The sequence below is a fragment of the Homo sapiens genome, chromosome 1 (assembly GCF_000001405.40).
Source record: "Homo sapiens chromosome 1, GRCh38.p14 Primary Assembly".
In the NCBI taxonomy this organism is placed as follows: domain Eukaryota; kingdom Metazoa; phylum Chordata; class Mammalia; order Primates; family Hominidae; genus Homo; species Homo sapiens.
The window spans coordinates 109,861,832-109,888,217 of NC_000001.11; the positions used below are offsets into that span (position 1 = coordinate 109,861,832).

The 26,386-nt window shown below is 47.1% G+C and overlaps 1 long non-coding RNA gene across 1 annotated transcript in view, besides 5 other annotated features; it reads left to right on the plus strand.

Moving 5' to 3' along the window:
- LINC01768 (long intergenic non-protein coding RNA 1768) overlaps positions 1-26,386 on the plus strand; it is a 77,840-nt gene that overhangs the window by 33,778 nt on the left and 17,676 nt on the right. The gene's annotated exons all lie outside the window — the stretch shown is intronic.
- Positions 3,042-3,587: an enhancer, noted in NCBI's record as "OCT4-NANOG hESC enhancer chr1:110407495-110408040 (GRCh37/hg19 assembly coordinates)". NCBI's record gives its function as "activates a minimal SCP1, AML or CMV promoter by ChIP-STARR-seq in primed H9 embryonic stem cells {active_cell/tissue: H9 hESC(primed)}" and the evidence as "EXISTENCE:reporter gene assay evidence [ECO:0000049][PMID:30033119]".
- Positions 15,660-15,848: a silencer, noted in NCBI's record as "fragment chr1:110420113-110420301 (GRCh37/hg19 assembly coordinates)". NCBI's record gives its function as "represses an EF-1alpha promoter that drives an FKBP-Casp9 reporter gene in an ReSE screen in K562 erythroleukemia cells {active_cell/tissue: K562}" and the evidence as "EXISTENCE:reporter gene assay evidence [ECO:0000049][PMID:32094911]".
- Positions 18,416-18,916: an enhancer, noted in NCBI's record as "H3K4me1 hESC enhancer chr1:110422869-110423369 (GRCh37/hg19 assembly coordinates)". NCBI's record gives its function as "activates a minimal SCP1, AML or CMV promoter by ChIP-STARR-seq in primed H9 embryonic stem cells {active_cell/tissue: H9 hESC(primed)}" and the evidence as "EXISTENCE:reporter gene assay evidence [ECO:0000049][PMID:30033119]".
- Positions 19,020-19,860: an enhancer, noted in NCBI's record as "H3K4me1 hESC enhancer chr1:110423473-110424313 (GRCh37/hg19 assembly coordinates)". NCBI's record gives its function as "activates a minimal SCP1, AML or CMV promoter by ChIP-STARR-seq in naive H9 embryonic stem cells {active_cell/tissue: H9 hESC(naive)}" and the evidence as "EXISTENCE:reporter gene assay evidence [ECO:0000049][PMID:30033119]".
- Positions 19,861-20,700: an enhancer, noted in NCBI's record as "H3K4me1 hESC enhancer chr1:110424314-110425153 (GRCh37/hg19 assembly coordinates)". NCBI's record gives its function as "activates a minimal SCP1, AML or CMV promoter by ChIP-STARR-seq in naive H9 embryonic stem cells {active_cell/tissue: H9 hESC(naive)}" and the evidence as "EXISTENCE:reporter gene assay evidence [ECO:0000049][PMID:30033119]".

The window sequence follows — 26,386 nt, forward strand, 5'->3', positions numbered from 1 at the left end:
GGACATGGATGAAGCTGGAAACCATCATTCTGGGCAAACTATCTCAAGAACAGAAGACCAAACACCACATGTTCTCACTCATAGGTGGGCATTGAACAATGAGAACACTTGGACACAGGGCGGGGAACATCACACATGGGGACCTGTCATGGGGTGGGGTGCAGGTGGAGGGGTAGCATTAGGAGAAATACCTAATGTAAATGATGAGTTAATGGGTGCAGCAAACCAACATGGCACATGTATACCTATGTAACAAACCTGCACATTGTGCACATGTACCCTAGAACTTAAAGTATTAAAAAAAAAGAACATATTCAAAGTATTATCCAAGTTACTGTAAAGGACAGAGTCATGCAATTTTCCTGTGGGCCAGCATCATTTGGTCAATCCAATCGGGTGTTAAACTAGCTGAAAACCCTCAACTTGTACCATCATCGAACCCACATTTTTCCTAGCTTATCCGCAAAAATATTATAAGATGTCATTTCAGCATTTTGTTGGTTTATCAGAGCAGATAAGACATCTGTTTAATAATCTGTAATTAGTGTAACTTGCCTTACCAGTCTGGGATTCAAATAAGATTCTCATTATTTCTTATTTTCCAGATTAATCTCCTGAATCCCCACATGCCCAAATCAATTTGTTACCAGGCTGCTGTAACGAAGTACCACAAATCGGTGGCTGAAAACAACAGAAATTTAATGTCTTGCAGTTCAGGGGGCCGTAAGTCTGAAATCAAGGTGCTGGCAGGGTTGGCTCCTTCTGGCTGGTAAACCTTGGCATTCCTTGACTTGCAGGTGCATCACTCCAATCTCTATCTCCAAGGTCACCTGGACTTCCCATATGAATCTCTGTGTCCTCTCCTCTTCTTATATGGATACCAGTCACATCACATTTAGGGCCCACCCAAAACAAACAGACCCTCATCTTAACTGATTACATCTACAAAGACCCTACTTCCAAATAAGGTCATGTTCTCAGGTTCCAGGTAGATATGAATTTGGGGTGGTGGGGGTTGCTATTCAGCCCAGTACACCAAGTAAGTGTCAACCTAAAAGGAAGAAGCTGAGGCAAAATTAATGTAAGGAGTTTATTTGGGCCAAGCTTGAGAATTGCAACCAGGCAGCATAGATTCAAGTTGTCCTGAACACACACTCTGATCAGCAGCAGTTACAAGTAGACTTTTTTTTTGAGACCGAATCTCATTCTGTCACCTGGCTGGAGTGCAGTGGTGTGATCTCGGCTCACTGCAACCTCTGCCTCCTGGGTTCAAGTCATTCTCCTGACTCAGCCTCCTGAGTAGCTGGGATTACAGGCGCCCGCCACTATGCCCAGCTAATTTCTTTTGTATTTTTAGTACAGAGGGCGTTTTACCACATTGGTCAGGCTGGTCTTGAACTTCTGATCTCGTGATTCGCCTGCCTCAGCTTCCCGAAGTGCTGGGATTACAGGCATGAGACACCGCGCCTGGCCACAAGTGGATTTTTAAAGGCAGAAAGTGGGGACAGGGAGTAGGCTGATACAAAGTTGTTTGTCAGGATTTCTCATTGGTTTACGAAAGTAACATTGGGCCAGCATGGTGGCTCACGTCTGTAATTCCAGCACTTTGGGAGGCTCAAGTGGGTGGATCACCTGAGGTCAGGAGACAAGCCCGGCCAACATGGTGAAAACCCCATCTCTACTAAAAATACAAAAATCAGCCAGATGTGGTGGTGGGCGCCTGTAATCCCAGCTACTTGGGAGGCTGAGGCAGGAGAATTGCTTGAACCCGGGAGGCGGAGGTTGCAGTGAGCTGAGATCGTGCCATTGCACTCCAGCCTGGGCAACAAGAGGGAAACTCTGTCTCAAAAAAACAAAAACAGAAACAAAAACAAAAAAACACACATACACAAAAGTAACATTGAAGAGTGATTTGCTATACATTATTAAGCAATATAGTGTCCAAGTGCTATTTGTGGCAATAGCAAGCAGTTTTAAGAGATGAATACATAGCTCAAGGGGGAAGTAGAATGTGATTGCTTTCTCATTTTAATATCTCTCTGGGACTGATGATTTAAAAGGACTCACATTCCTCAACTATAAGTTCTTTTCTTTCCTCATGAGCAAAACCCTCTCTCTCCCTGCTGCCTGTGCATTGTTGTAGTTTATGCAGTGTTTGGCTGAAGGAACCCAGGCTCTCTCTGATGCTGCCATCTCTATCACTGTTGAAACTAGAATTCCCCCACTCCCACCCCAGCTCCTGATGCACTGCTGCTAATGTCACAGGGTGAACCCCAAAATTAAGGTTCAGCCTGGGAGGCCATGTGAGTTCTTGGCTTTGCACAAGAGGGAATTCAAGAGCAAGCAAGCAAAGTGAAAGCAAGTTTATTAAGAAAGTAAAAGAATAAAAGGGGGGCTACTCCACAGGCAGAGCAGCCCTCATGGGCTGCTGGCTGGCTATACTTATGGTTATTTCTTGATTACATGCTAAATATGGGGTGGATTATTTATGAGTTTTCTAGGAAAGGGGTGGAGATTTCCCGGAACCAAAGGTTCCTCCTCTTTTTAGACCATATACGGTAGTGCAGTGGTTGCCATGGTATTTGTAAACTGTTGTGGTGCTGATGGGAGTGTCTTGTGGCATGCTAATGTATTATAATTAGTGTATAATGAGCAGTGAGGACCATCAGAGGTCACTTTTGTTGCCATCTTGGTTTTGGCTGGCTTCTTTACCACATCCTATTTTATCAGCAGGGGTCTCTGTGACCAGTATCTTGTAAACCAGTCCTGCCAAAGTCCTATCACACAAATAGTCCAGCTCCTGACGCGAGCTGCATTGAGTCCTCCTGCAGTGTCATGCTTAGACAAGAGTGTACCACATGTGGGCTGCTACACACAGACACCCCTCTGGTGAAGCAGCTGGGCTTTCTGGGTGTGTCAGCCTCAGCCATGCACCATGCCAGAGGACAATCAAGCCATCGTTTCACACCTCCTCTTCCACTTGGGTGGGTGCAGTGGGTGTGAGCGGTGGTTCTTGGTCATTTCAGGTGGAACCCATCCATGGATTCAGGTACGATCATTTCAGCCCATCAGAGTTACCTTTTGCCTCAAATAAGAAGGGAGTGGTTCAGATCCGTCTTCTCCCAGAAGGCTCCTTGTGCTCCTGTATACATTTGTCCAAATGCTTCAGCAACCAGCTCTTCATACCAAGAAATATAGAGAACAGCCTTTGTCAAGCCACACAGTAGGGAAAAAATGTCCAGTTATATCCTCTTCTCAGGATGATGGGTGCCTAGCTGCCCACATTTACGTAACTGAAGGAGACCATTCACACGATTGTTCTAAGAACAAAGACTTCCTCTAAGAAGATTGGCTGCCTCCTCTTGCTAGCTGGCAACTTTTAAGTGGCAGTTCATTGAGGCAGAAAGATGTAAAATTCCACTTTCTAGGCACTCCATTACAAATCTAGTTCACACTTGTACCATGAATTAATGTTGTTTGGAAGTCAGAGGTCGTTAAATTTACCCCATTTAGACATTCCTCCGTTTTGAAAACTGACAAACATTTCACACTTCCCTGGCTGTTGGCTCCTTTCCCAAATTTCTCAGAAATCACGGACAGTAGTTCTGCAATCACATCCCCGAGTTCCGAGGAGATTCCTCTAAAACCAGAACTCGAATGTGGCCAGATGCTTCCACCACCTCCTCATGGCTGCGCTCCACGTTCTTCTGGAATTTGCCTTTACACTTTCCGGTTTGAGAATTACTCTTCTTGAGGGAGAAAAACATTATGCATGAAAAAATTTGTCCCCTCCACTAAGTGTGGGGCCTGGATCTTCCCCATTGTTTTTCTTGCTTCAGATACTTTTCTAAAACAGGGTTTCTGGTTTCTGTCATTTGTTTAAGCCTCAGCTCATTTTACGTGTTAGTATTCCTGACCCCAGTCTTGTGGGCTGGTGCTGCTTTGGGCATTTGTTTTCGGCCCTCTGCCCCTTCCCACTGCTATACCTGCTCTTTGAAATTCTGAACTCACCGTGTATTTGAGGTGGTTCTTTAGATGACTGCTCTGGGCCCAGTTCGCCTTCCTTCTCAATGAGGTTATTAATTATTCCTTGGTCTGTTTGTGGAGCCCCTACTACATGTTGGGTACAGCACTAGGAACTACTGATATACCAGGGAACAAAAGCAGATATGGTGCTTGCTCTTACAAACTCAAAGAAAGGGGCACTGTTCAAATAATTACATAAATAAATATAAAATTACAGCTCAATAACTGTGAAGAGGCACATAGCGAAGAGTTTATAAGGAGCCTTTTTTCTTTCTTAAATCTAGTTAAAGATGCAAGAAAGGGATCACTGAGATCTAAAAGATGAGTGGGAAGGATTGACTGAGGTCAAAAAGGAAGGAAACAACTCAATTTAGAAATGAGCAAAAGATCTGAACAGGCACCTCACCAAAGTAGATAGATGGCAAGTAAGCATATGAGCAGGTGCCCAACATCATAGTCACTAGGAAATTAAAGATCAAGGGATTTTTAGGGTAGTGAAACAGTAAGGGTGGGTATCTATCATTATACATTTGTGTAAACCCATTGAATGTACAACACAAAGAATGAATCATAATGTAAGCTATGGCCTTTGGGTGATAATGATGCATCTACGTTGGTTCATCAGTTGTAGCAAATGTCCCACACTATTTCGGGATATTGAGGGTGGAGGAGGCTGTGTGTGTATGGGGATGGGGGTGGGGGTGGGACAGGGTATATGGGAACTCTTTGTGCTTTCCACTCAATTTTGCTATAAACCTGAAACTACTGTAAAAAAAAAAATAGCCTATTGATTTTAAAAAGGGTTGGGGTACAGACAGGGGGAAGAGAAGGAGCTTTCCAGGAAGAGACTTGCACATGCAAAAGCCCTGTGGCACAGGAAAATTTGGTGATTGGGACTAAAGGAAGGCCATTATGGGTAGAGTAAAGAGAGTAAGATGGAGCTTGATGAAGCTAGAGAAACAGGTGATGCCCAGACTCAGCAGGGTCTGGTAGGCTGTTAAAACTGTTTTTCTTTATCCTGGAGGTGCTAGAAAGCCAGTGAGTGGTTCTAAGGGTGGGAGGTAGGATAGGGATGATGGGATTGCAATCAGATTTATATTTCAAAATAATCACTGTGGGTATAGTGTGGAGGGTGGAGAATGCCTTGAACTCTAAAAGGTGCCAGAGTTGATATGGGGAGACCAGTTGGGAGCCCAGGTGAAAAATAAAGGTAGTCTGAAGGAGAGTGGATGATGCGGGAATGGGAAGAAGCAGCAAGACAAACTTAGGATTTAAACTGGACAGAATTTAAAGGGGGATGAAAAAGGAAACAAGGAAGAAGGTGGGGCCCAGCATGTTTCCTTGGTTCATTTGTGACTACATAATGAACATATTACTTCTTAGAAATTTCTGTCCCTCTTTAGCCATATTCTCCTTCAATATTTTTGACTCATGCAAATTTCCCAACTTGTTGAAATCTGCTCTCCTTGAGTGAGATGAACAGGTCCCTTCTGCACCATAAAGAGCTCCACAAAGCCATTACTTTCTCCCAAGCTCTAGTCACTTGTGCATCATAAACCAATATTGACATATGTTTTTAACATTAGATCCAACAAAGGAGTTCTTCTTATTTCTTCTACTTTTGGATAGTTGAGCTCATAAAGCAAATTAAACATTCTTGTGTTGTCTGCAGGATGAGTGATGGCCACGGTTATATACGAGCTTACCATGTACCAGGCACTGTTTTGAGCACATCATTAGCTCATTGAATTCTCCCAAGAACCCAATGAAGTAATACAATTATCATCCTCATTTTAGGGGGAAACAGACACAAAGGGGTTACATAACTTCATTATGTTCACACAGCCAGGATTTGAACTCTGGCTCTGGAGTCCATGCTCTTAGCCATTATTCTAATCACCCCCTCAAACATGGTCTTTCTGAAGGATTTTTCAAGCCAGTTCTGAAGAGAGAAATCTTTTTGCCTCTGGGGTCTCAAAAATGGAGGATAGAAATCTGCAGGTGTGGCCAGGCATGGTGGCTCACTCCTGTAATCCCAGCACTTTGGGAGGCTGAGGCGGGATCATGAGGTCAGGAGATCGAGACCATCCTGGCCAACATGGTGAGAGCCCGTCTCTACTAAAAAAAATTAGCTGGCCCTGGTGGTGTACATCTGTAGTCCTGGCTACTTGGGAGGCTGAGGCAGGAGAATCTCTTGAACCCGGGAGACAGAGGTTGTAGTGAGCCAAGATTGCGCCACTGCACTCCAGCTTGGCAACAGAGTGAGACTCTGTCTCAAAAAAAAAAAAAAAAGAAAAAAAAAAAAAAGAAATCTGCAGGTGCATATTGCATGGGGAAAAACAGGAAAAGAACAAAGCTGATCCTGACCCACAGGATAATCTAAAATGAGAGATGGGAAAGGATGGAGAAAAACAGAGAAATAAAAAGAGAGAGAGAAAGAGAAAGAGATTTTAAATGGCTGTGGGCCAGGCACAGTGGCTCACGCCTGTAATCCAACACTTTGGGAGGCCAAGGCAGGCGGATCAGTTGAGCTCAGGAGTTCAAGACCAGCCTGGGCAACATGGTGAAACCCTGTCTCTTTAAAAAAGGAACATAAAAATACAAAAGTTAGCCAGGCATAGTGGTGTACCCCTGTAGTCCCAGCTACTCAGGGGGCTGAGGTGGGAGGATTGCTTGAGCCCAGGAGATGGAGGTTACAGTGAGCTGAGATTACACCACCGCACTCCAGCCTGAACAACAGAGTGAGACCCTGTCTCAATCAATCAATCAATCAATCAGCCACAGAAGACCATGATGGCCAAGAAATAAAAAACAGCCAATGCCAGCAACTCTCAAGGACTGTTGGCCATTTTCCTAACAGTCAGAAGGTGAATGTCAATCTACTGGGAGGCATGAGAAAACACAGGATGGACACTTGACTCCTAAAACATAGGCCTAAAAGCCAGGTGACTGGAAGAACTTAAAGAAGACCAAGGCAGGTTCACACCTTGGCTGTGGTTCTTAATGGAGTATGTATGTAAGGTCTCCAAGGAAATGGAGGCCTTAACTCCTGACACAAGACTTACAGAATCTCTTGGAGTGGGGTTGATCCTAGGCATCTGTAGTTCTTAAAAGCTTCTTAGGTGATCCTGATAGGGGTCCTTGGTTAAGGTCTCCAGCTGATGCTTGTAAGAGATCTCCTGGGGAAGTATTTACCGGGTGCATAAGAGAGAAAAATAAAATCCCAACACAAAAGTCTACTTGAGGGTCCTGGAATTAATAGGACCTTGAAGAAGCTTGGGCCAGAGGCCTTGACTTATCTATCTGGACTCCAGGTGGGTTAACTGTGTTCCATGAGGCAGAAGTAGCCTGGCCCCATCTTGAGACAGACCAGAGAATGTGACTAGGAAAAGTGGCTCTCCCCTTAAGGAAGGCCTGGGTCTCACATGAAACTCAGGCACCTCAAAACTTCCCTTTACCAGGAGTGTGGAATTTGACCACACACATTCAGGGGCTGAACTGCAACTTCTGAACCAAGTATGGGTATTATTGGAATGAGCTAGATGGTTTGAGGAATAAATAGTTAAGATGGCATTTTGTTGGTTACCATTATGTCAACACTTGCTGCTTGAGTGTAGAATTTATGTATGTATGTATGTATGTATTTATCTTTGAGACAGAGTCTTGCTCTGTCACCAGGCTGGAGTACAGTGGCGCAATCTCAGCTCACTGCAACCTCTGCTTCCCAGGTTCAAGTGATTCCCCTGCCTCAGACTCCTGAGTAGCTGGGACTACAGACGCCCGCCACCACGCCTAGCTAATTTTTTGTATTTTTAGTAGAGACGGGGTTTCACCATGTTGGCCAGGATGGTCTCAATCTCCTGACCTCGTGATCCGCCCGCCTTGGCCTCCCAAAGTGCTGGGATTACAGGCGTGAGCCACCGTGCCTAGCCAGAATTTATTTTATCTAATAATGAAAACCCTTTCCTGTCCCTTTCCTTCTCATAGAACTGTCAGGAAAAAAATGAAAGGAGAAGACTTTGTAAGGGACTGGCAGTTCCACAGTAAATGCAATAAAACTATTTACGAAGAAAAGATAAACATGGGATTTGAGATCATGTTTGTCTCAAATAGAAACAGTGTGGAGGGGTTGTGTATGTGAGGGATGTGGAATAGGAGTGATGGTAAGGTTAGTGATGCTTTTGTTCAGAGTGTTAGCTTTGTGGGTACTCATTGCATTATCAAAATAACTAGCCAACTACTAACCAAATCAATAAATGGAAGTAGCCATGCCTGGACTAATGATAGTGGTGTGTAACGAAACAAGGATGATAATGAACACTATTCTGTGTACCTAAGGGCCAATTTAGAAATAAATAAAGAGTCAGCCTGGGCAACATAGTGAGACCCTGTCTCTACAAAAAAAATTGTTTTAATTAGTCAGGGGTAAGTGGCACATACCTGTAGTCCTAGCTACTTAGGAGGCTGAAGCAGGAGGATTGCTTGAGCCCAGGAGCTCAAGGCTGCAGTGAGCTACGATTGGGCCACTGCATTCCAGCCTGGGTGACAGAGTGAGATCGTATATCAAAAAATGAAATTAAGAAGTACATATAGAGAAAAAAATTATCTACAAAAATCCCACCACATTTTCCTTTCCAGATATTTTTGTAAATCTTTTTTTTTTTTTTTTTTTTTTTTTTGAGACAGAGTCTCTCTCTGTCACCTAGGCTGGAAGGCAGTGGCACGATCCTGGCTCACTGCAACCTCTGCCTCCCAGGTTCAAGCGATTATCCTGCCTCAGGCTCCTGAGTAGCTGGGACTACAGGCGCACACCACCACACCAGGCTAATTTTTATTTTTAGTAGAGACAGGGTTTCACCATGTTGGTCAGACTGGTCTCAAACTCCTGACCTCAGGTGATCCACCCGCCTCAGCCTCCCAAAGTGCTGGGATTACAGGGGTGAGCCACTACGCATGGCCAAATCTATTTTTCAGTAGAGTTGAGGTCATACTGTAGCTATGATTATTTTGTATTCATTTCTTAAAAGAAACTATTACATTTTATTTTTTAGAGTTGCTTTAGGTTCACAACAAATTGGTAGGTATAGATATACTCCTCTTTTTACTTAACATTAGGGCATATACACATTTTCATTTCATCAAAAGCTTCTCATAAACATACTTTTTAAACTGTCAACATAATATTTCCTTATATGAATATAATATGGTTAATTTAGCCTTACTGCCACTGGACATTAAGGTTGTTTCAAATTTTTTGTGATATAAGTAAAGTGGTGATGAACACTTTGGTGCATAACTCACCCTCCCCCATGCATTTAGCATTTTTTTAGGACAGATTATTAGAATTGTTGGCTAAGTACATATGAACATTTTAAGGCCTATTTTACCAAACAGCTAATTTGCTTTCCAGAAATTTTATGAAATTTTACAACTTTACCAAAAGAATTTGAGAGGATGTACTCACTGTACTCTTACAGTTATGGTTGAATTAATTGTTCTTCTCCCCAAAGATGTCTATGTCCTAATCTCCAGAACCTATGAATGGATTGTCTTTCATGGAAAAGGGGTATTTAGATTGCTAATCTACTGGCCTTGAGATGGGAGAGTATCCTGGATGATCTTTATGGGCCCAATGTGATCACAATGGTCCTTAAAAGTGGAAGAAGGTGTCCGAAGAGGACCAGAGAGACACCCATGTGAGAAGGACTCGGCCTTATGTTGCTGGTTTTGAAGACGGAGAAAGGGGCCACAAGCAAAGGAAAGTGGGGGGCTTCTAGAAGCTGGAAAAGGCAAGGAAACGGATTCTCCCTTATAGCCTCCAGAATGGAACACAGCCCTGCCAACCCCTTGATCTTAGTCCTGTGAGACCCCTGTTGGACTTTTGACTACAGAACTGTAAAAGAATAAATTTGTGTTGTTTTAAGTCACCAAATTTGTAGTAATTTGTTACTGCAGCAATAGAAAATAATACACCAGCTTTAGGTATTTCCATTTCATCCCAATGTTTTTTTTTTTTTTTTTTTTTGAGATGGAGTCTTGCTTTGTTGCCCAGGCTAGAGTGCAGTGGTGCACTCTCGGCTCACTGCAACCTCCACCTCCCAGGTTCAAGTGATTCTCCTGTTTCAGCCTCCTCCCAAGTAGCTGGGATTACAGGCACACACCACCACACCCAGCTAATTTTTTTTGTATTTTAGCAGAAATGGGGTTTCACCATGTTGGCCAGGCTGGTCTCAAACTCCTGACCTCAAGTGATCTGCCTGCCTCGGCCTCCCAAAGTGCTGGGATTACAGGCATGAGCCACTGCATCCGGCCATTTCATCCCAATGGTATTTGTCATTTTAATATGCATTTTTAAAATTTTTGGGTAGAACAATTCTACTGTTCTGTTCTGTCACATTTTATTGTTTAGAAAATACCCTTCTTCTGGGAAATGCTCCTTCACCTCCTTTTAAACATGTGGTCCAAAATAGAGCTGAATAACTGAGCCAAACTAAGCCATTCAGAGTCTGTCTTAGTGATTTAAAATGTTATGATTAGAGAAAACAAGCCTCATCCTTCTCTGTTGGTGAGTCACAGCAGCCGCCAGAGGCATTCTCCTGCCATCTGCACCAACCCTCTGTGAGAGAATGACACTGATGTGCAGAGAGAACAAGGATGAGGAGTGGAGAGAGTCTCTGTGATCACCTTTGGTCACTGGAGCCAGTTGCACTCTGCTCTTCTCCCAGCCACATGATCCTTCCAACAAATGTTTCTTTGGCCAAAATTAGTTTGAGCTGTGTTTCTGTCACTTACTACTTAATGAGTCTTAGTGCAGAAAATGGAACTTGAACTAGGATGTGGAAATTGACAAGCTCCAAATGGCTGAATTAAGGTTGGTTAGTGAAAGCGGGTAGCTGAGAGCATCCCCAGATCCTAGGCTGGGAAAAATCGCATTCCCTAATTGTATCAAGGGGTTAGACCACTTTCCAGTGTTTCTTGGGACTCAGACCATGTGCTATGCAGGCTTATGCTTTAGGAGACCTGGTATGAAAATACCAGAATAATAGAATGTGTTAGTGATTTCCTGCAGCCTTTGGTAAGGTGCTGTGAGGGAGAGAAAGAGAAGACCCAGAAGAAGCAAGCAATCAAGGCACCCCTGGGCAGAGAGGTGCAACTTTAAGAGAGGTCTTTCTGTTAGTCTCCAGAAGTCCCAAATGGCCAAGTCATGCCCTTTGTTCATCATCATAGCCTTTGTCCAACAGCAAAAAAACCAATTTTCTTCCCACACTAAAGGTTCTGCACTGATTAAGAAGCTGTAGAATCCTGAAAACTGAAATGGCAATACCTGGAAAGAACCATAACCAGCCAAGCATGTTGTGTTGTGCCCTCCTTGCCTGACAAGGAATCACCAACCTCTCCCTACCCCACCACAGTGCCATGTGAAAGTCCCCATGGCAGAAGTAACGTAGCAGGACAGAGTAGCCCTGCCTTCCCTCCCCAGTTTCCTGCTGAGCCCTGGGGGATGGGCAGAGGCTCCAGAGCTGCCGGTAAGAGGCTGGAGCCACATGGGCAAGGGCCAGCACACCTCCCATACCTTCAACATTGCTGGAGTTGGTTATTAGTCATAGAGACCCCCAGAGTGGAACTCACAGTAAGATGATGCAAGGTTTAAGGGTTTACGTGCTAAAAAAGCACAAGTTTGCCAAATGGAAGTGTGTGATTGCACAATCACTAAGGTGTTTATTTTCTAAACTTTCCTGACAATAAGAATCCCCTGGGATGATTGTTAAGAACATAGATTTCAAAGCACCTCCCCTGGAGACTGCATGAATTTGAGATGTGATTGGAGATCTGTATTTTCACCAAATTTCCTAGGAGATTTCTATCACCCAACAAGTTGGGGGAAACTCTGCTATGAGGTAATCTGCAGGTATGTAGGCCAACAGGAAGTGATTTGTGAGGCACCACAGCCTCAAGTGTGGGGATCCTTTGTACTCCCATGCTCACTAGGGGTCTTGTGGATATGGGCAAAGGGAATGTTCCCAACTGGCAAAACCTGGAGAGACAGACTGGCCAACTAGAGAACTCACTCCTTGCCAAGGATACAGTGATATTATTCAGCCACAGCCCTGACCTCCCTGTCCCTATCCAGCTGGATGTGATTTAAATGTTGGACCAGTGTCCATTGAATGTTGCTTCCTTGTTACCCAATTTAAATGGTAGCATTTACAATGGTTACCTTGTTTCCCACCAGCATTGTGCATGAAGTGTGTTGGAGGTGGTTGGTGGTTGTAATAATCACATCACCAATGAGGGCAAGATCATGAGGAGCCACAAGAAGACTTGAGGACACACCCAAGAATCCTAAACTTGGACTCACCATCAAATGACCCTCTAAGTTAACGCTTTGAGCGCCACTTTCATACACACCAAACTCATTTATTTTCTCCAAATACGTAGAAATAATCCCAAAATTTATTAAACACTGACTATGTCCTAGGCATAGTCTATGTGCTTTACATGCGTTAGTTCATTCAACTCTCCCAAAAACCCCATTAGGTAAGTGCTATTATTATCCCCCAGTGAACAGATGAGGAAATGGAAGCTCAGAGAACTGAAGAAGGCTGCCCAAGGCTGTGCAGCTATCAAATCATGGAGATGTGAGCCCTGGCAGCATGACCCCTGAACCTGAGCTCTTCACTGTCACTCTAAGCTGCCTCCCCAGTGAAAAAGGGGAAAATAAAACAATGCTGCCACATTTCAAAAGAAGCTAAACATTGCCATGGGTAAGAAACAGGAAAACTAATATGAAGAAAGACTGCCAACAAAAGCAGTCAGCAGGGAACAAACTCCCTCCAGATGGAAAGAAAGTAGTAGAGCAAGATGAAAATGGTTGTAAACTAAGCTGGTTTAGAATCCTCAAAAGATAAAAGAAGAGAGGCCAGGCGCCTGTAATCCCAGGAATTTGGGAGGCCAAGGTGGACGGATCACCTGACAGGAGTTTGAGACCAGCCTGGCCAACATGGTGAAACTTCATCTCTACTAAAAATACAAAAATTAGCCAGGCATGGTGGCATGCGCCTGTAATCCCAGCTACTTGGTAGGCTGAGGTAGGAGAATCGTTTGAATCCAGAAGGTGGAGTTTGCAGTGAGTGGAGATTGTGCCACTGCACTCCAGCCTGGGCAACAGAGTGAGACTCTGTCTCAAAAACAAACAAAACAGAACAACAACAAAAAGGTGCCCACTGAGTTCTTAGTAGAATAGGTAGTAAATTCACATCTATACAGGCTTTTCTAAATCTGCAGAACATCAAGAAGAACAAGAAAATCTTAACAGCTATCAGAGGAAAAAAGAGATTTCTAATTTAGTAGATTCTGAACTTGGAACTGGATGCAGTCGCTGGATAAGACTTGAGTTACATTACACTGAGATGGGATGGTTGCATTACGTTAAGAGAGGACATTTGGAGGCATTATGTGTATGGGAAGAAAAGTACGTATACGGGGAATCTAGGGGATATTCATTGTTTTGCGTGCCCAGAAGAGCACCCACCTCCTCTGAGCAGTCAAACAAAGAAGAGAGATAGAGATAGAGTGACTCTTGCCAGTGTGTAAGGATCTCTTCCTAGCTATCTCCTCTAAATTCCCTCCTTTAACTTAACTTGTAAAAATTAAAATTCTATTCTTTTCAGCCAAATGAATCTTAGTTAATGAAATGTGAGACTGATATTTTGTAATTATTTAATTATTTACATGTTTCCTTTTGGAAAATGTTTTTTCTTATTTATCTACTGAGTGTTGCATGGTTTTTGTTTGCTTGTTTTAAATGTGCAGTACTCCTAAACAAAATTTCTATTCGCCTGATCCCAATTCTCTTTCTCTTTTGCCTTTCTCAGCTACAGGCTTCCCTATCGTCCTACACATCCAAGCCAAGGATCTCAATATCATGAACTCTTCCTTCTCTTGATTTCACCTCTCATACCCACAAGCAGCCACCAAATTCCATCAATTCTATCTTTTAAAAATCTCTCTCAAATCCATCCACTGAGACTTTAACAATGATAGACCTACCTACTGGAAGGGCTGCAGGCAACACTCTCATTTGCTGCTGAGTGGAAACTGGAAACGCTTTTCTGCAGGGAAATTTGAAAATAAGTTTCGGTGATCTTAAAAATATTTATATCTTTTGACTCAGCAATGGTACCCTATGAATAAGGGGAAGGGGAAATCGAAGATAAGAACAAAGACTTAAAAAAAAAACAGGATGTTTACGATAACGTAATGTTTTAAAATAGTATTTAATAGAATGAGGTGTGGCTTAAGATACAATGTTAACTATGAAAGGATATGAAACATATATACAGTACAGGTCTAATAAAAATTTATGTCCAATTCGATGATTATTCAGAAATGGAATAATCAATAGGCTTCTGTTCTCCTGTCATTGTTCTCTAGCCAGCCAATTGCTCTTCCTTTCTGTGGATCAGGTGGGTAGGATTAGACAGTGACAGCCTCACGGTCACTTGGGGCTTTTCTTAGTTCAGCCTACGGAGTCCTGAGTGTAGTATAATTTTCAACATCTTTATCTTGTGCTTTTCGGGACAATAGAGACTCCCCCTTGCTTCAAATGCTGTTTTCTATTGCTTTCACCATCATACAACCCTGCACTTGTCAATTTTTATCCCCACACAGATCATGTTTTGGTTGGGTTTTACTGTATTTGTCTATCTACATAAAAAATAATAAGTAAAGGAAACACTAAAATGTTCCTTCTGTGTGATGGAAGTTTGTTGATTTTAATATTCTCCCATACCTGTAAATATTGCTGAGAATGGAATTGCTGATGGCCGCTTAGCATTCTGACATATGGGTACACTCTAGATGATTTAATCAAACTCCTATTCTTGAACATTTAGATAACTTACCATTTCCCCTTGCTGTAAGCAATGCTTCGGTAAACACCTTGGTACACACATCTCTGTGCCAACTGGACCCTGCAGAATTATACACACATGAACCAAAAAGGTGACTGCCTTCCCCTTTTCTCCTTAGTGTGGGAGAGCAGACATGTATAGCAATAACCATACTATAAAACATAATGTGTTAGGAGAAGGATTTCAGTCCAGGTATGGACCAGGCTGCCTGGAGGAGGAGGCATTTGAGCCAGGCTCCTCAAGCAGAAAGCTGGGAAGAGGGAGCTGATCTCCCTGGTAACCACAGAAAGTCTTCTCAGTGAGCAACTCCCGCTGTGGCTCCTGAGAGCTGGGAAAACAGGCCTTCATACCAGAGCCAGAGAATCTGGGGCCCCAGTCCCCAGCCCTCTTGGGAATATGGCAGCTCTCTTCAAGGGGCAGGAACAGCATCTCTCATCTACAGAAGCCAGGAGATTTCCCCCAGCTTCCTTCCAGCTCCACCAAAATCACCCCACACTCAGAGCCCCTGCGTTGGGGGAGGGAGGGTCTTGACAGCCCCCTGCAACCCCTGCCCCCACCTTGTGCCCCCAGGGAGCAGGGCAGAGGAGCTATTCCCTGACAGTGCTGAGCCATGCGGCAGGCCCACAGGCTCCCATTCCTGCCGTCTCTCAGCGTCTCCGGCCAAACCCCAGCTCCTGGGGTTAATGGAATGTTGAGCAATCCTTGGAATTTTTCAGTGAGAAATAAGTACTTTCGAATTCCGTTCAGGCCTCCTGAGTAGGGCGCGCTGCCTGCAGCCCAAAGGCTGGAGCCTGCAGCGCCTGAGTCTTCCTGAACCGGCATCAGGGAGCACTGGGGGACTTTTCAGTGTTTGTTTTCTCCTCCTGCTGGCCAGGCTGTAGGACACTATTACAATGAGGTCATGGGGCCCTGCCCCACTGCGTCCATGGGTGGTTGAGCAGCCAGGATCTTTCCCTTCACAGGCTGGCTCGGGTGTGCACACGGGTGTGCTGGAGGACAGGCGGGGTCAGAGCCCAAGCTCAGCCTGAACCCCTCAGGACCTCCCTGCCCCATCACTGCCAGGTCTTATTCCCTATCCGGGGTCTGCCTTGGCCTAGGGCCTTGGGCCACATTCTGTATCTAGTCTCGTGGGGGCCGTGTGAGGAACCTAGTTTTTACTTGCTAGAGATAATTGAACAGTACCCTGCAAGTAGTTCTCAGCTCAAATGGCACCTCCTCTGGGAATACTTCTTGAAACTTCCTCCACAATGTCAAGTTCCCCTATTATACATTCTCATGGCACCCTATACCTCTCCATCTAAGTCCTTGCCTCTGTTATTAAAAATAATTATTTGTTAAGCAAATACACAAATAATAATAAAATAATAATTATTTGTGTATGTGCTAAATGTCTGTCTTGACCACAGACGGTATGCACCATGAGGGCAGGAGTCCATTTTGTTCACTGCTGTATCCCCAATACCATCTGCAGTGCTTGACATATAGTAGGTGCTTTATGGATTGCACTATGCCAAGCAAAGATTCTTAAGAAAGTATAAGGCTTCTGCCTCTTAAGGGGCTCTTGCCAGGACATGACCTCCTGGGGATTTTCTCTTCTTAAGAGACAGGTCTCACTATGTTGCCCATGCTGGACTTGGAATTCTTGGCTCAAGTGATCCTCCCACTGCAGCCTCCTGAGTAGCTGGAACTACAGGGGTGCACCACTGCACCCAGAAATTCCTCTGGGATCCTGTACCAGATTTGGGGGTACCTCCAAGCATGGCCCCACTGTTGGCCTCATTTTCCCTCTGTGTTCCAGGTCCTCCAATTTCTGCCTCATCTACAACGAGGTAAGTGGGAGACCAAAGTGTCACTGTTCAACTGAAAGCAAATCTCCTTTGTCTGTGATCAAATTGCAAGTTCGCAGGCAAGGGGTCCTGACCAGGCAAGGGGTCCTGCCCCGGCAACGGGATATTTTGCAGATACCCACTGTGTCAGAATTCCTGGCTCCGGGGCAGGTCCTGACCCCACCTGCACACCTCCACTTTATCTTAGCTTTGCGTAAGGTTTGAAAGTTCCCAAAGCCCGTCACACTGTTATTTCATCTGTACCTCCCACCAGCACTACCCTTCCCATTTTACAGAAGAGAGAACTGTCCCAGAGAAGTGAGCTTCTCTAGTCATGATGAGGAAATGGCAGGGTGAGCTTTCTAGCTCCACGGGCAGGATGGGGAATGTGGGAGGCAGGTAGCAGGTGGGAGTTGGGTCCTGGGAAGTGGAAGACACAGGCCAGGCACCTAGAGAGTCATGCCAGGGTCCTGAGGTAGGAACACAGCCACCTCAGAAGGTACTGGAAACAAAGCAGTCCCCTCTGCTTTGTAAGAAGCCTTCACTTTGTAAGCCAGACAGTTTTTATGATTCTTATGTTCTCTGTGTTAATTTCCCTGATTTCCTCCCTTAGTGGGAAGTAGGAAAAACTCAGGAAAGTTCTAGTTGGCCTCAGCTGTGCAGAGGGGAGCCAAAGGAATAGGTTTGCATCTCAGCATGTGCCAGAGTGTTTCAAGTGGCCAGCATGCTGGGTGGGGGAATCATAAAGGGGAGGGGGCTGGGCAGTCCTGGGGGCCATTGTTTTCAATGTCACCCTGACCCTGACCCCAGACACTCGGAGAGAATCACAGCTTAAGCATGGAAAACTTGGGGTTTCTGTCATTAAAATGAGTAGGCTGACTTAACCACCTCATAGGATTGTTGTGAGATTATATCACTCACACACAAATATTTTTTGAGTTCGAAGTGTCTAGGATACATCAGGGTACAAAACACAGATTAAATCAGCAGATTACATGGGAGGCTAGAATGTGCTAAGTGCTGTGGGCAAAACGACTTGTGAAGTAGGCCGGGCATGGTGGCTCACACCTGTAATCCCAACACTTGGGAGGCCGAGGCGGGTGGATCACCTGAGGCCAGGAGTTCAAGACCAGCCTGGCCAATATGATGAAACCCTGTCTCTACTTAAAAATACAAAAAGTTAGCCAGGCATGGTGGTGGGTGCCTGTAATCCCAGCTACTTGGGAGGCTGAGGCAGGAGAATGGCTTGAACCCGGGAGACAGAGGTTGCAGTGAGCCAAGACTGCTCCACTGCACTCCAGCCTGGGCAACAAGAGCAAAACTCCATCTAAAAAAAAAAAAAAAAAAAAGGACCTGTGAAGTAGGTAAAGGAATGAGGGGGATCTGGGCTAGGGCCAGGGAGCGGTCAAAGTAGGCCTCATAGGAAAGGGGTGATTGAGTTGCAGGGTATCAGGGGCGTGCGCCCCTGGCAAGGGGAGCCTATGTCTCTGTGCTAAGATTCAGGAGGGCAGAGAGGCTGGGGCAGAGGAGCCAGGGGAGAGTGGTGGGAGTAGAGGTCAGGGCGGTTAGCACAAGCGGCAGATCACGAGCTGCCTTCCTGGCCATTGCATGAACTTGGGTGAAATAGAGAGCCATGGAGAGCCTGATCCCTCTGGCTGCTATGCTGAGAAAAGACCGAGGGGTCATTGGGAGGCACGCCAGGACACCACAGCCATAACCCAGGTGAGGGATAATGGTGGTGTGGACCCGGGCAGAGCAATAGGAGACGGTGAGAGCAGGTGGGGTCCTGGCCATTGGGAGAGATGACAGCTTTTGCTGATGGTTTTGGTGTGGGATGTGAGAGAGAGAGGAGTCAGGGATGATTCCATGGTTTTTGGCTTGAGATGGTGGAAAGATGGAGTTGCCATTAGCTTAGATAATTTGTGTTATTCTAGCTTCTGACTGCAGACTCTGGGCCAGGGCCTGGGTCAACCACTTTACACCCTGATCCCATTCAATCCTCACAACCCCACAAGTAGGAACTTGTCCCTTCAGCTCAGAGAGGGTAACTAGCTGACCAAGGTCACCTAGCACGTTAAGTGGTGAGGCTCAGATGCCACAGGCTGGTCTGACCCCACCAAGCAAATGTGTATAAACTGTCCCCGGGACTTGGGACACCAGTTCCCTCGCCTCACCTGACCTTGCCTGGACTTGCACCTCACTCCCTTTTTACCCTACAGCAAGCTGCCTCAAAACTGCAAAGCTCTCATGGCCTGATGTTGTATACATCCTGAGGTTTCTCTCAGAGGCACTTTTAAAACTCCTTATTTGGATATCTGAAATTAGGTAGAGGGGTGGCCAGGACTAGGATGTCTGGGGACTTCCTCAGAGGCCTTGGGCAGATGGGTGGGCCGTGAGTCAGGGGCAACAGGTGGAGGGAACACAGGCAGGCTCAGCAGATGTAGCAATAAAAATTTGGGATTCTTATAAATACAGTCAGCTACCCTGCCCACCACCCCCACGCCTAAGCTGGAGGCACTGCTCTCCCACCCACAGGATTTATTTTGCTCTTCTAGACCGCCATATTCCCAGTTTAGAGGAGAAATGCGTGGGATCGAGGATTTGAAACTGATTTGCTCAGACATTGGGGCAATGCTTGTGTGTGGCGGTGGGGGAGGGGGACATCCACAGCACAGCATGACGAACACAGCACGGTGGTGTTCAGGGCTCTGACCTCTGCCCACCCAGGACCTGGTCCTGGGCCAAAGTTTTAGCACCAGGCTGCTAAGAGCTGACTCAGCACTGAGCCCAGGCTAGGGGTTCCTGGATGGCTTTCTGGGCCATCCAGGTCGTGCTGAGGAGTTGGGGATATAGCCCTGCCACCTGCCCGAGTCACAGGGAGGAGACTTTAAAAATGAATAAGCACTTGCTCTGTGCCAGGCGCTCTCACACACACTGCCTGCTTTAATTCTCATAACTGTGAGGTCAGGACAAAACTAAGTTCAGAGAGGTTAAGAGGCCACACAGCTGGGGGAACCTGATTGTACCCTTGGCTATCTGACTTCAAGGCTCCCAGGGCCCCAGGTCTTTGATGTCTCTGGCACCCGTAGCTCAGGCTCCTCTGCACCTCCTCCTGTCTGAGCGATGAGTCTGCTGAGGAACAATTCCGGGTCAAGCCGGCTTTCTTACCAGAGGTCTCGCCCTCGCTGGAGACTCCCAGCCAGGCCCGGGATGTGCAGAAGCCAGCAGGGAAGGCTGACGCCTTAGGGTGGGAAGTGGGGGAGTTGTGCCGACATATCTTTGGAATTTTTCTGACTCCCCCATCCTTTTGAACAGACAGCAGACAAGGACTAGGCATGTGAGCAAAGAAAGGGCATCCCTCTTCTCAGGAGGTGGTCCTGCGGCTGAATGGGGTGACATCTATCTCCACTGATATTCTTAGATGTACTCTCTCCTAATCCCACTCCTCAGCTGCTGCTCCAAAGCTCCGGACCTGTCTCCCAGGGCTCACTTTCAGCCAGCGGGGGACTGGATGTCTTCATTGGCCCAGCTGCTGAGCCCCTACCCCTGGAGTGTCTCCCCTTTCTCCAGGCCCTGTACGCCTACCCAGCTTTTGAGCCAGTTTCTCCTGGCTTGTTTGGTTGTTGGGACTCATGCAGCTGCCTGCATGATGAGGTCCTATAAGACAGTGCTTATCCCAGAGGAAGGAACTGCTAGAAAGGGGTTGTCGACCTCATGGAGGAATGCGTTGCATAGAGCCTGCCCCTGACATTATCAAAACATCAGCCTGTCCTGGGGTCAAGGCTTCAGGATCTCAAGAGGCCAATTCAGAGGTTCTTGGAGCCCTAGATTTCCAGGACTGATGGGTACTGACAAAGGCCACCTCTGTGCCTTGGCCTTGAGGTTTGGGGTGGGAGGGGGACACTGAGCTGTGGTCAGAGTTCAGCTATCTGGGGTGTGACAGGCACACACCTTCTCCACTTACCATGCTGCTGGGTATCCCCACCACCAGAATGTCCCCCTTCTAAACTCCCTTCTAACCAGCACTGATCCCTTGTCTAGATGCTGCCTCTCCTCAGATCCTGTGTCTGAGAGCCGCTGCAGAGAACCAAGGGACTCGCACGTGCAGAAGGCCCCGGTGGAGGCCAGAGACGGAGCCCGAGACGGGGGCAGGGCGGACGCACAGACAGCCTCTGTTGGCCTGGCAGGCGGGGAACAGTGGCAACTCAAATACTGTTGTTTGCAAATGAACAACCTCAAGCCTAGAAGACAGTTCATCTTTGTTTGCCCTGGTTGGTGCTGATGTGGCTTCTGCCCCGCCCCCCATCTAGGGTTCTTTTTTTCTTGCTCACTGCAGCCATGGACCCAGGGAAGCAGGGACAGGGGTGCGTTGAAGCCCAGGCCTGAGGCACCTGATCTCCAGACTCAAGGATTCGGTTCTGGCCCCATAGTCTCTCAGGTGTGACCCCTCTCACCTAGCAGTCATGAGAAGCTGTGCTTAGGATCACAGGCCCCAGGCCCCTCCCTGCTGGTCTGGACCTCTGCCTCAAGCTCAGTGAGTTCTCAAAGCCTTGTAGCAACAAGGCTGCAGCTCTGTGCCATGCCCCATCAGAATCCTAGAATATCAGGGAATCTTGGTGTGTGGATAAAGAACCTAACTCCTGAGATGTTAGGTAATTTGCCCAAAGTCACACAGCTGGTGAGTAGCTGAGCTGGCTCTCCATGCTCTTGGAAGCATTCTCTTCCCATTTTTTCTGTGGGTTCCCCCCAGACCCCAGCCCACCCAGGAGAGCCAAAGCTGGGCTGGGATGAGCTCTCTCTCCACACATGTGGTGCTTATCAAGCAAACATGGCCTCGACGGGTTTCGCAATGATCCTTATGTTCTGGTCCCCGCAGTGGGCTGGGAGCTTCAGGAGAGTGGAGACCCTCCTTTGCTGTTCTCTAACTGCTGCCCAGGTTGCTGCCCCATGCACACCCAGGGCTGGGGCCCAGCACATCCTTCCTCAACGAGAGAAGAGACTAGCAAAACCTGGAAAGGAAATGGGCTCAGGACGGTTCAGACTGTTTTCTCTCTGAGGGAACAGAGCCACACGTTGTGCAGGAAGGCAGGGAGATGTTTGTAGGCTCCAGTTTAGGAACGGGACTTGTAAAACAGGGAGGTGGCCAAATTCATTCAGATTGGCCTTGGAGCAGGCCCTACGCATGGAGCCAACTGAAATATTCAGAACTGCAGGCCAGCAACCTGTCCCCAGAGGCTGAAGGAGGAAGGCCCAGTCTAGAGCCCACAGTGTCAGAACCAGGCTCAGGAGGGCCTGGGCTGGCAGAGGGTGACTAGGGGAGGTTCATGGTCCTCAGGGAGCAGGCATGGAGGACTTCTCTGGGAGGCCTTCTTTCTAGGATTAATTAACCCCTCCTCCTCCACATTCAGCCAGTTAATCAATCGGCTTTCCCATGAGCCCAGCGTGGTGCTAGAGGCCTAGAATGGGGTGGGGGAGGAAGACACCAGAAATATGAGCCAGTGTCTGCCTTCAAGGGGTCTGTAAAATAGTTGGAGAAAGTAAGCAAGCACATGCAAATCAGAACATGGTTAAGACAGGTTAAATAGCAGACCATAGGTGACCAAATGCAGTGGGGTAGGGAATGTCCTATCCACTGTGCCTAAACACTGGCTTCTGGTCTTTTATTTTTTGTCTTTCCTTCAACCATCCCCCCAGCCCACACAAAGTCCCTTGCATAACAGGGCCAGCAGTCAAGGCTAGGGAACAATTTCCTAGTAAATCAGGGACTCTGTGAAGCCTTGGCAACATCTCAATTCTCATCTTGAATTTATAACTCTCAGGGCTCTCACTGCTGGCCACCAACCCCAGCACACCACCAACATCTTCAGTTTATTGACTGACAGGCTGATTATCGCTGTGCGAGGCGGCCAGCGCTGGTAGTTTGCAGAAAGATGGCATACAGGCAGGAAAAAGCTGAGAGCAACTTGGCAAAATGCAACATGCATTCTTCCTGCAGGAAGAAGGGAAAGCGTTAGAACACCTCTCTAATGACTTTCCCAGAGCAGATTCTTTGGTTCCCACTTCTGAGCCTTCACACTTTCCCCACAGCTGGAACTTCCCCACCTCCTCTCATCCAACAGCTCCTCCCCAGTTTTGAAACCAACTTCTAGGGAAACCGGCTCTAGGTCTCACGCCTGACTAAGCCCGTTGGACCTTACCTGCTCTGTTGATTGAGCTTGGGCAGCCCAACTGTTAGTCTCTAGGGGCCAGGATCAGACTCTGGGGTCCTTCTTGTGTATACACAAGTTTTCTAGTCAGTGAACCCTTCTGAGTGCCTGCTCCGTGCCTAGCTCCAGCCTACATCAGTGAGAGACAGCGGGGGCAGGCCAGGCCTTGCTGCCTACAAGTTCACTGTCTTGTTAGGGACAGTGACACAGACCCTCACCAGAACAAGCTTAACACCACCGGGTGGCTTGCAGTCAAAGTCCAATGAGCAGAAGCATCATGGCCTTCTTTGTTTTGCTTTGTTTATTATTTACTTTGTTTGTTTATAGCGGTTCTATTCACAATCTCTAAAAACTAGAAACAAACCACATGTGCCTCAAAAGTCACTACCTTTAAAAAGTTCAGGGGAGAAAGATACTTCTGAGTGCTGGGAGATACCCCAGCTTCTTGAAGAATCTGAACCTTGAAAGAATGTGGACAGGTGGAGAAGAAGGGAGAGCATTCCAGGCGGGGGAAATTGCCTGAGTCCAAGGGTGGAGGGCTGTAAGACATGGACAAATATATGGCACACGTGCCAGCCCCCTTCTATCTCCTGTCCTTGACAGACATTGTCGATGTACTGTTTCCCTCTAACTTACTGCAGCCATCACCAATCAATCAAAACTGATGAGTGAGAATCAGCCTATCTGTCCTGGTGGTCTAGAGTGTTTAGAAGGCATAGGAAAATGGATCAGGCTGGAGCAGGACATTTGTGCCATGAAGGAAAGGAGAAAGGCAAACTCATCGAGTTGTAGGATGACAAAGTGGGAATGGGCCATGTAATCTTAAGGAGTCTAACGCTAGAGAAAAAAGAACTTGCCCGAGGTACATGGAAGTTATTGGCAGGAGTGTTGGAACTCAAGCCTCCTGAACCCTGGGCAATGGATTGGGGCCAGACATTCAGAAGGGCCTTGAGCACTCAGCTGCTGAGTTGATACCTAATCTTGTGCAATCTGGAGTTGGCCACGCAGGAGCCACAGCAGGACAGAAAGGTCTTCTAAGCTCATTCTTTACTTCCTGACACTCTCTCCTCCCTGTCCAAACTCTCATTGCTCCTGTGCTGGGAGCCCAGGAGGGTGTCCTGGGAGCACTGAGGCAGAGAAACAGGTGGACTCTCCTCCCAAAGGAAAGCACTTTCCCCCCTGAGCCTACCCTGAGGGACTGAAGCACCAGTGAAGAAGCCCCCTGCCACCTCCCCCAGCTTCCAGGCCACAGGCTTTGAGCATGAAAGTGTTATAATAAAGTGATATTTACAAAATATTATTATAAAAGATTAATCTGTCCTGCTTCCTTTTAGGAGAAAATACCTCCTATGGGAAAATACCTCACCTGCTGGAGGTGAGGGGGCCACTTGCGTTATGGTGGAGAAAAGAAGGGGGCCTTACCCTCAGGAACAAATCCATGGGTCAGAATCCATTGAGGCCCCCAGGAGGGGTCAGGATCAGAGCCAAGAGCCACATCTAGCTGCAGGAGCTTTGGATGGGTGTCAGGCTTCATAACTCCCCATCTGGGGTGGGCATGTTCTGCTTGTTTTGCTGTTTGTTTCCCTGAAGGAGATGTCAGTAAAGGATGTTGTAGGCTTGTCCTGGGAGGTGGAATGAATTGGAGACTGGGGGCCGTCTCTGCAGGCAGGATCTGGGGATCAGAGCAGCAAGAGGTGGGAGGCAAACTCCAGGCAGAAGAGGAGTGACGGCAAGAGAAGGCACAGAGAAGGATGTAGCCTGCAGGAGCCCTCTCAGGACCCAGGGGGTCAACCAGGAAGAACCCCGGTCTGAAAAGGGCAGGACTGAGCAGCAGCAATGGCTAGAGACCCCATTAACCTGTAAGCCTGCGAAGGTTGGGGACCAGACCCCTGCCTTCCTCATCACAGTCCCAGGTTCTGGAAACTGGACATATAAGCCGTGACCTTGCTTGAATGGAATTTACTTTGTTTCTCTTTCTGACCATTCCCCAAATCAGAAACAGTTCTTCCACTTGTAGAAATGGGCAGGGAGAGGAAGTGTTGCCCCTTCCCACAGAGGGGCTATCAGAGGGAAGGTAGAAGGAGCTGGGACCGGAGAGATGAGCTAATTTTTCTTTTCAAAGATCATGTCTGACGTCCTGTTTTCCAACCCTGGGAGCCACTTCTCAGCGTTCACCCTCTCTGGGGCAGCTGACCATGTTGCTCAAGCTTCACTTCTTTAAAAGTTACCCCCTTGGCTTCCGGCCTTTGCACCTTCATGGTTCTCCCTCGAGGGCTGTAGTTCCTCTTTCCCCATTTCTGGTTTAGTTTACTCTTCTTCCTAAGCCCCTTACATCAGGTGTCCCAAAGTTTTATCAATAGTACCTTCTGCTTGGACATCCCCATGATCTCCCTAGGGATGCTCACCACTCACACAGCTCTGATGGTCACTTGCTTGTTAGTGAATCCTAAATCTACACCTTCAGCCTGATCGTCCTTCAATTCTAGGCCCTCCTTCGTAACAGCCTGCTGAATGCCCTCCACAATCCCCAAGCTCAACACACCCATTGTTCAGGAGTCTTCCGTGGGACTTGGGACAGCCTTGCTGGAGGCCGCACTTCAGTAGCGAGGCCTGGAAATGAAGCTGCCTGGGTTTCTGTACCTTCACTTCCACTCACCAGCATCAGCCCCACCATCTCCCCACAGGAGGCTGCCAGCCCTCCCTCTTGTCTCTGGCCACTCTGCCTTCTGCTCATTCCTGTTGACGTTCAGGATTCAGATAACCCTGGCTGAGTGATTGGTGTTGGGCCGGGAGGATTGACACCCCCACTTAGGCACATCGTGGTGTGTAAATTCTAAATCTATTTGAAAATGTTCAGTTTTGATGAATGCTCTGCACTGAGAGCTCACAGGAAGGTAAGAGGGGACATCCAAGGGTGAATGGGGAGAAAAGCTACTCCCTTATTTATCCTTGAAGCATTAATTGAGCTCCTTGTCTGTGCCAGGGACTATGCCAGGGGCTCAGGATCCAATAGAGAAGACAAAGTCCTGCTTTTGTGGTGCTCACAGTCTAACAGAGAACCAGGCGTTGGCCAGGCCATTAGAGGGTGACAAGTGATCCACAAGGGAAAAATAGGATGGAGGGAGAGCAAAGGACAGGGCCTGAGACCTAAAGGATTATCATTAGCTAAGAGGAAAAGAGGGAGAGGAGAAGAGGATTGTTCCAGGCAGAGGGACCAGCATGCGGGAAGACCCAAGGCCAGAGCAGCACTTTCGAGGAACTGAAAGAAGCTCGATGTGGCTGTGGAGCATTGAGAAAGGGGAAGAATGGGCCAGAAACAGGAGGGAGAGGTGAGCAAGGGCCGCGTTAGGCAGGGCGTCGGGACCCTGGTAAGGCAGGGCGTCGGGACCCTGGTAAGGGTTTCGGATTTCAGAAT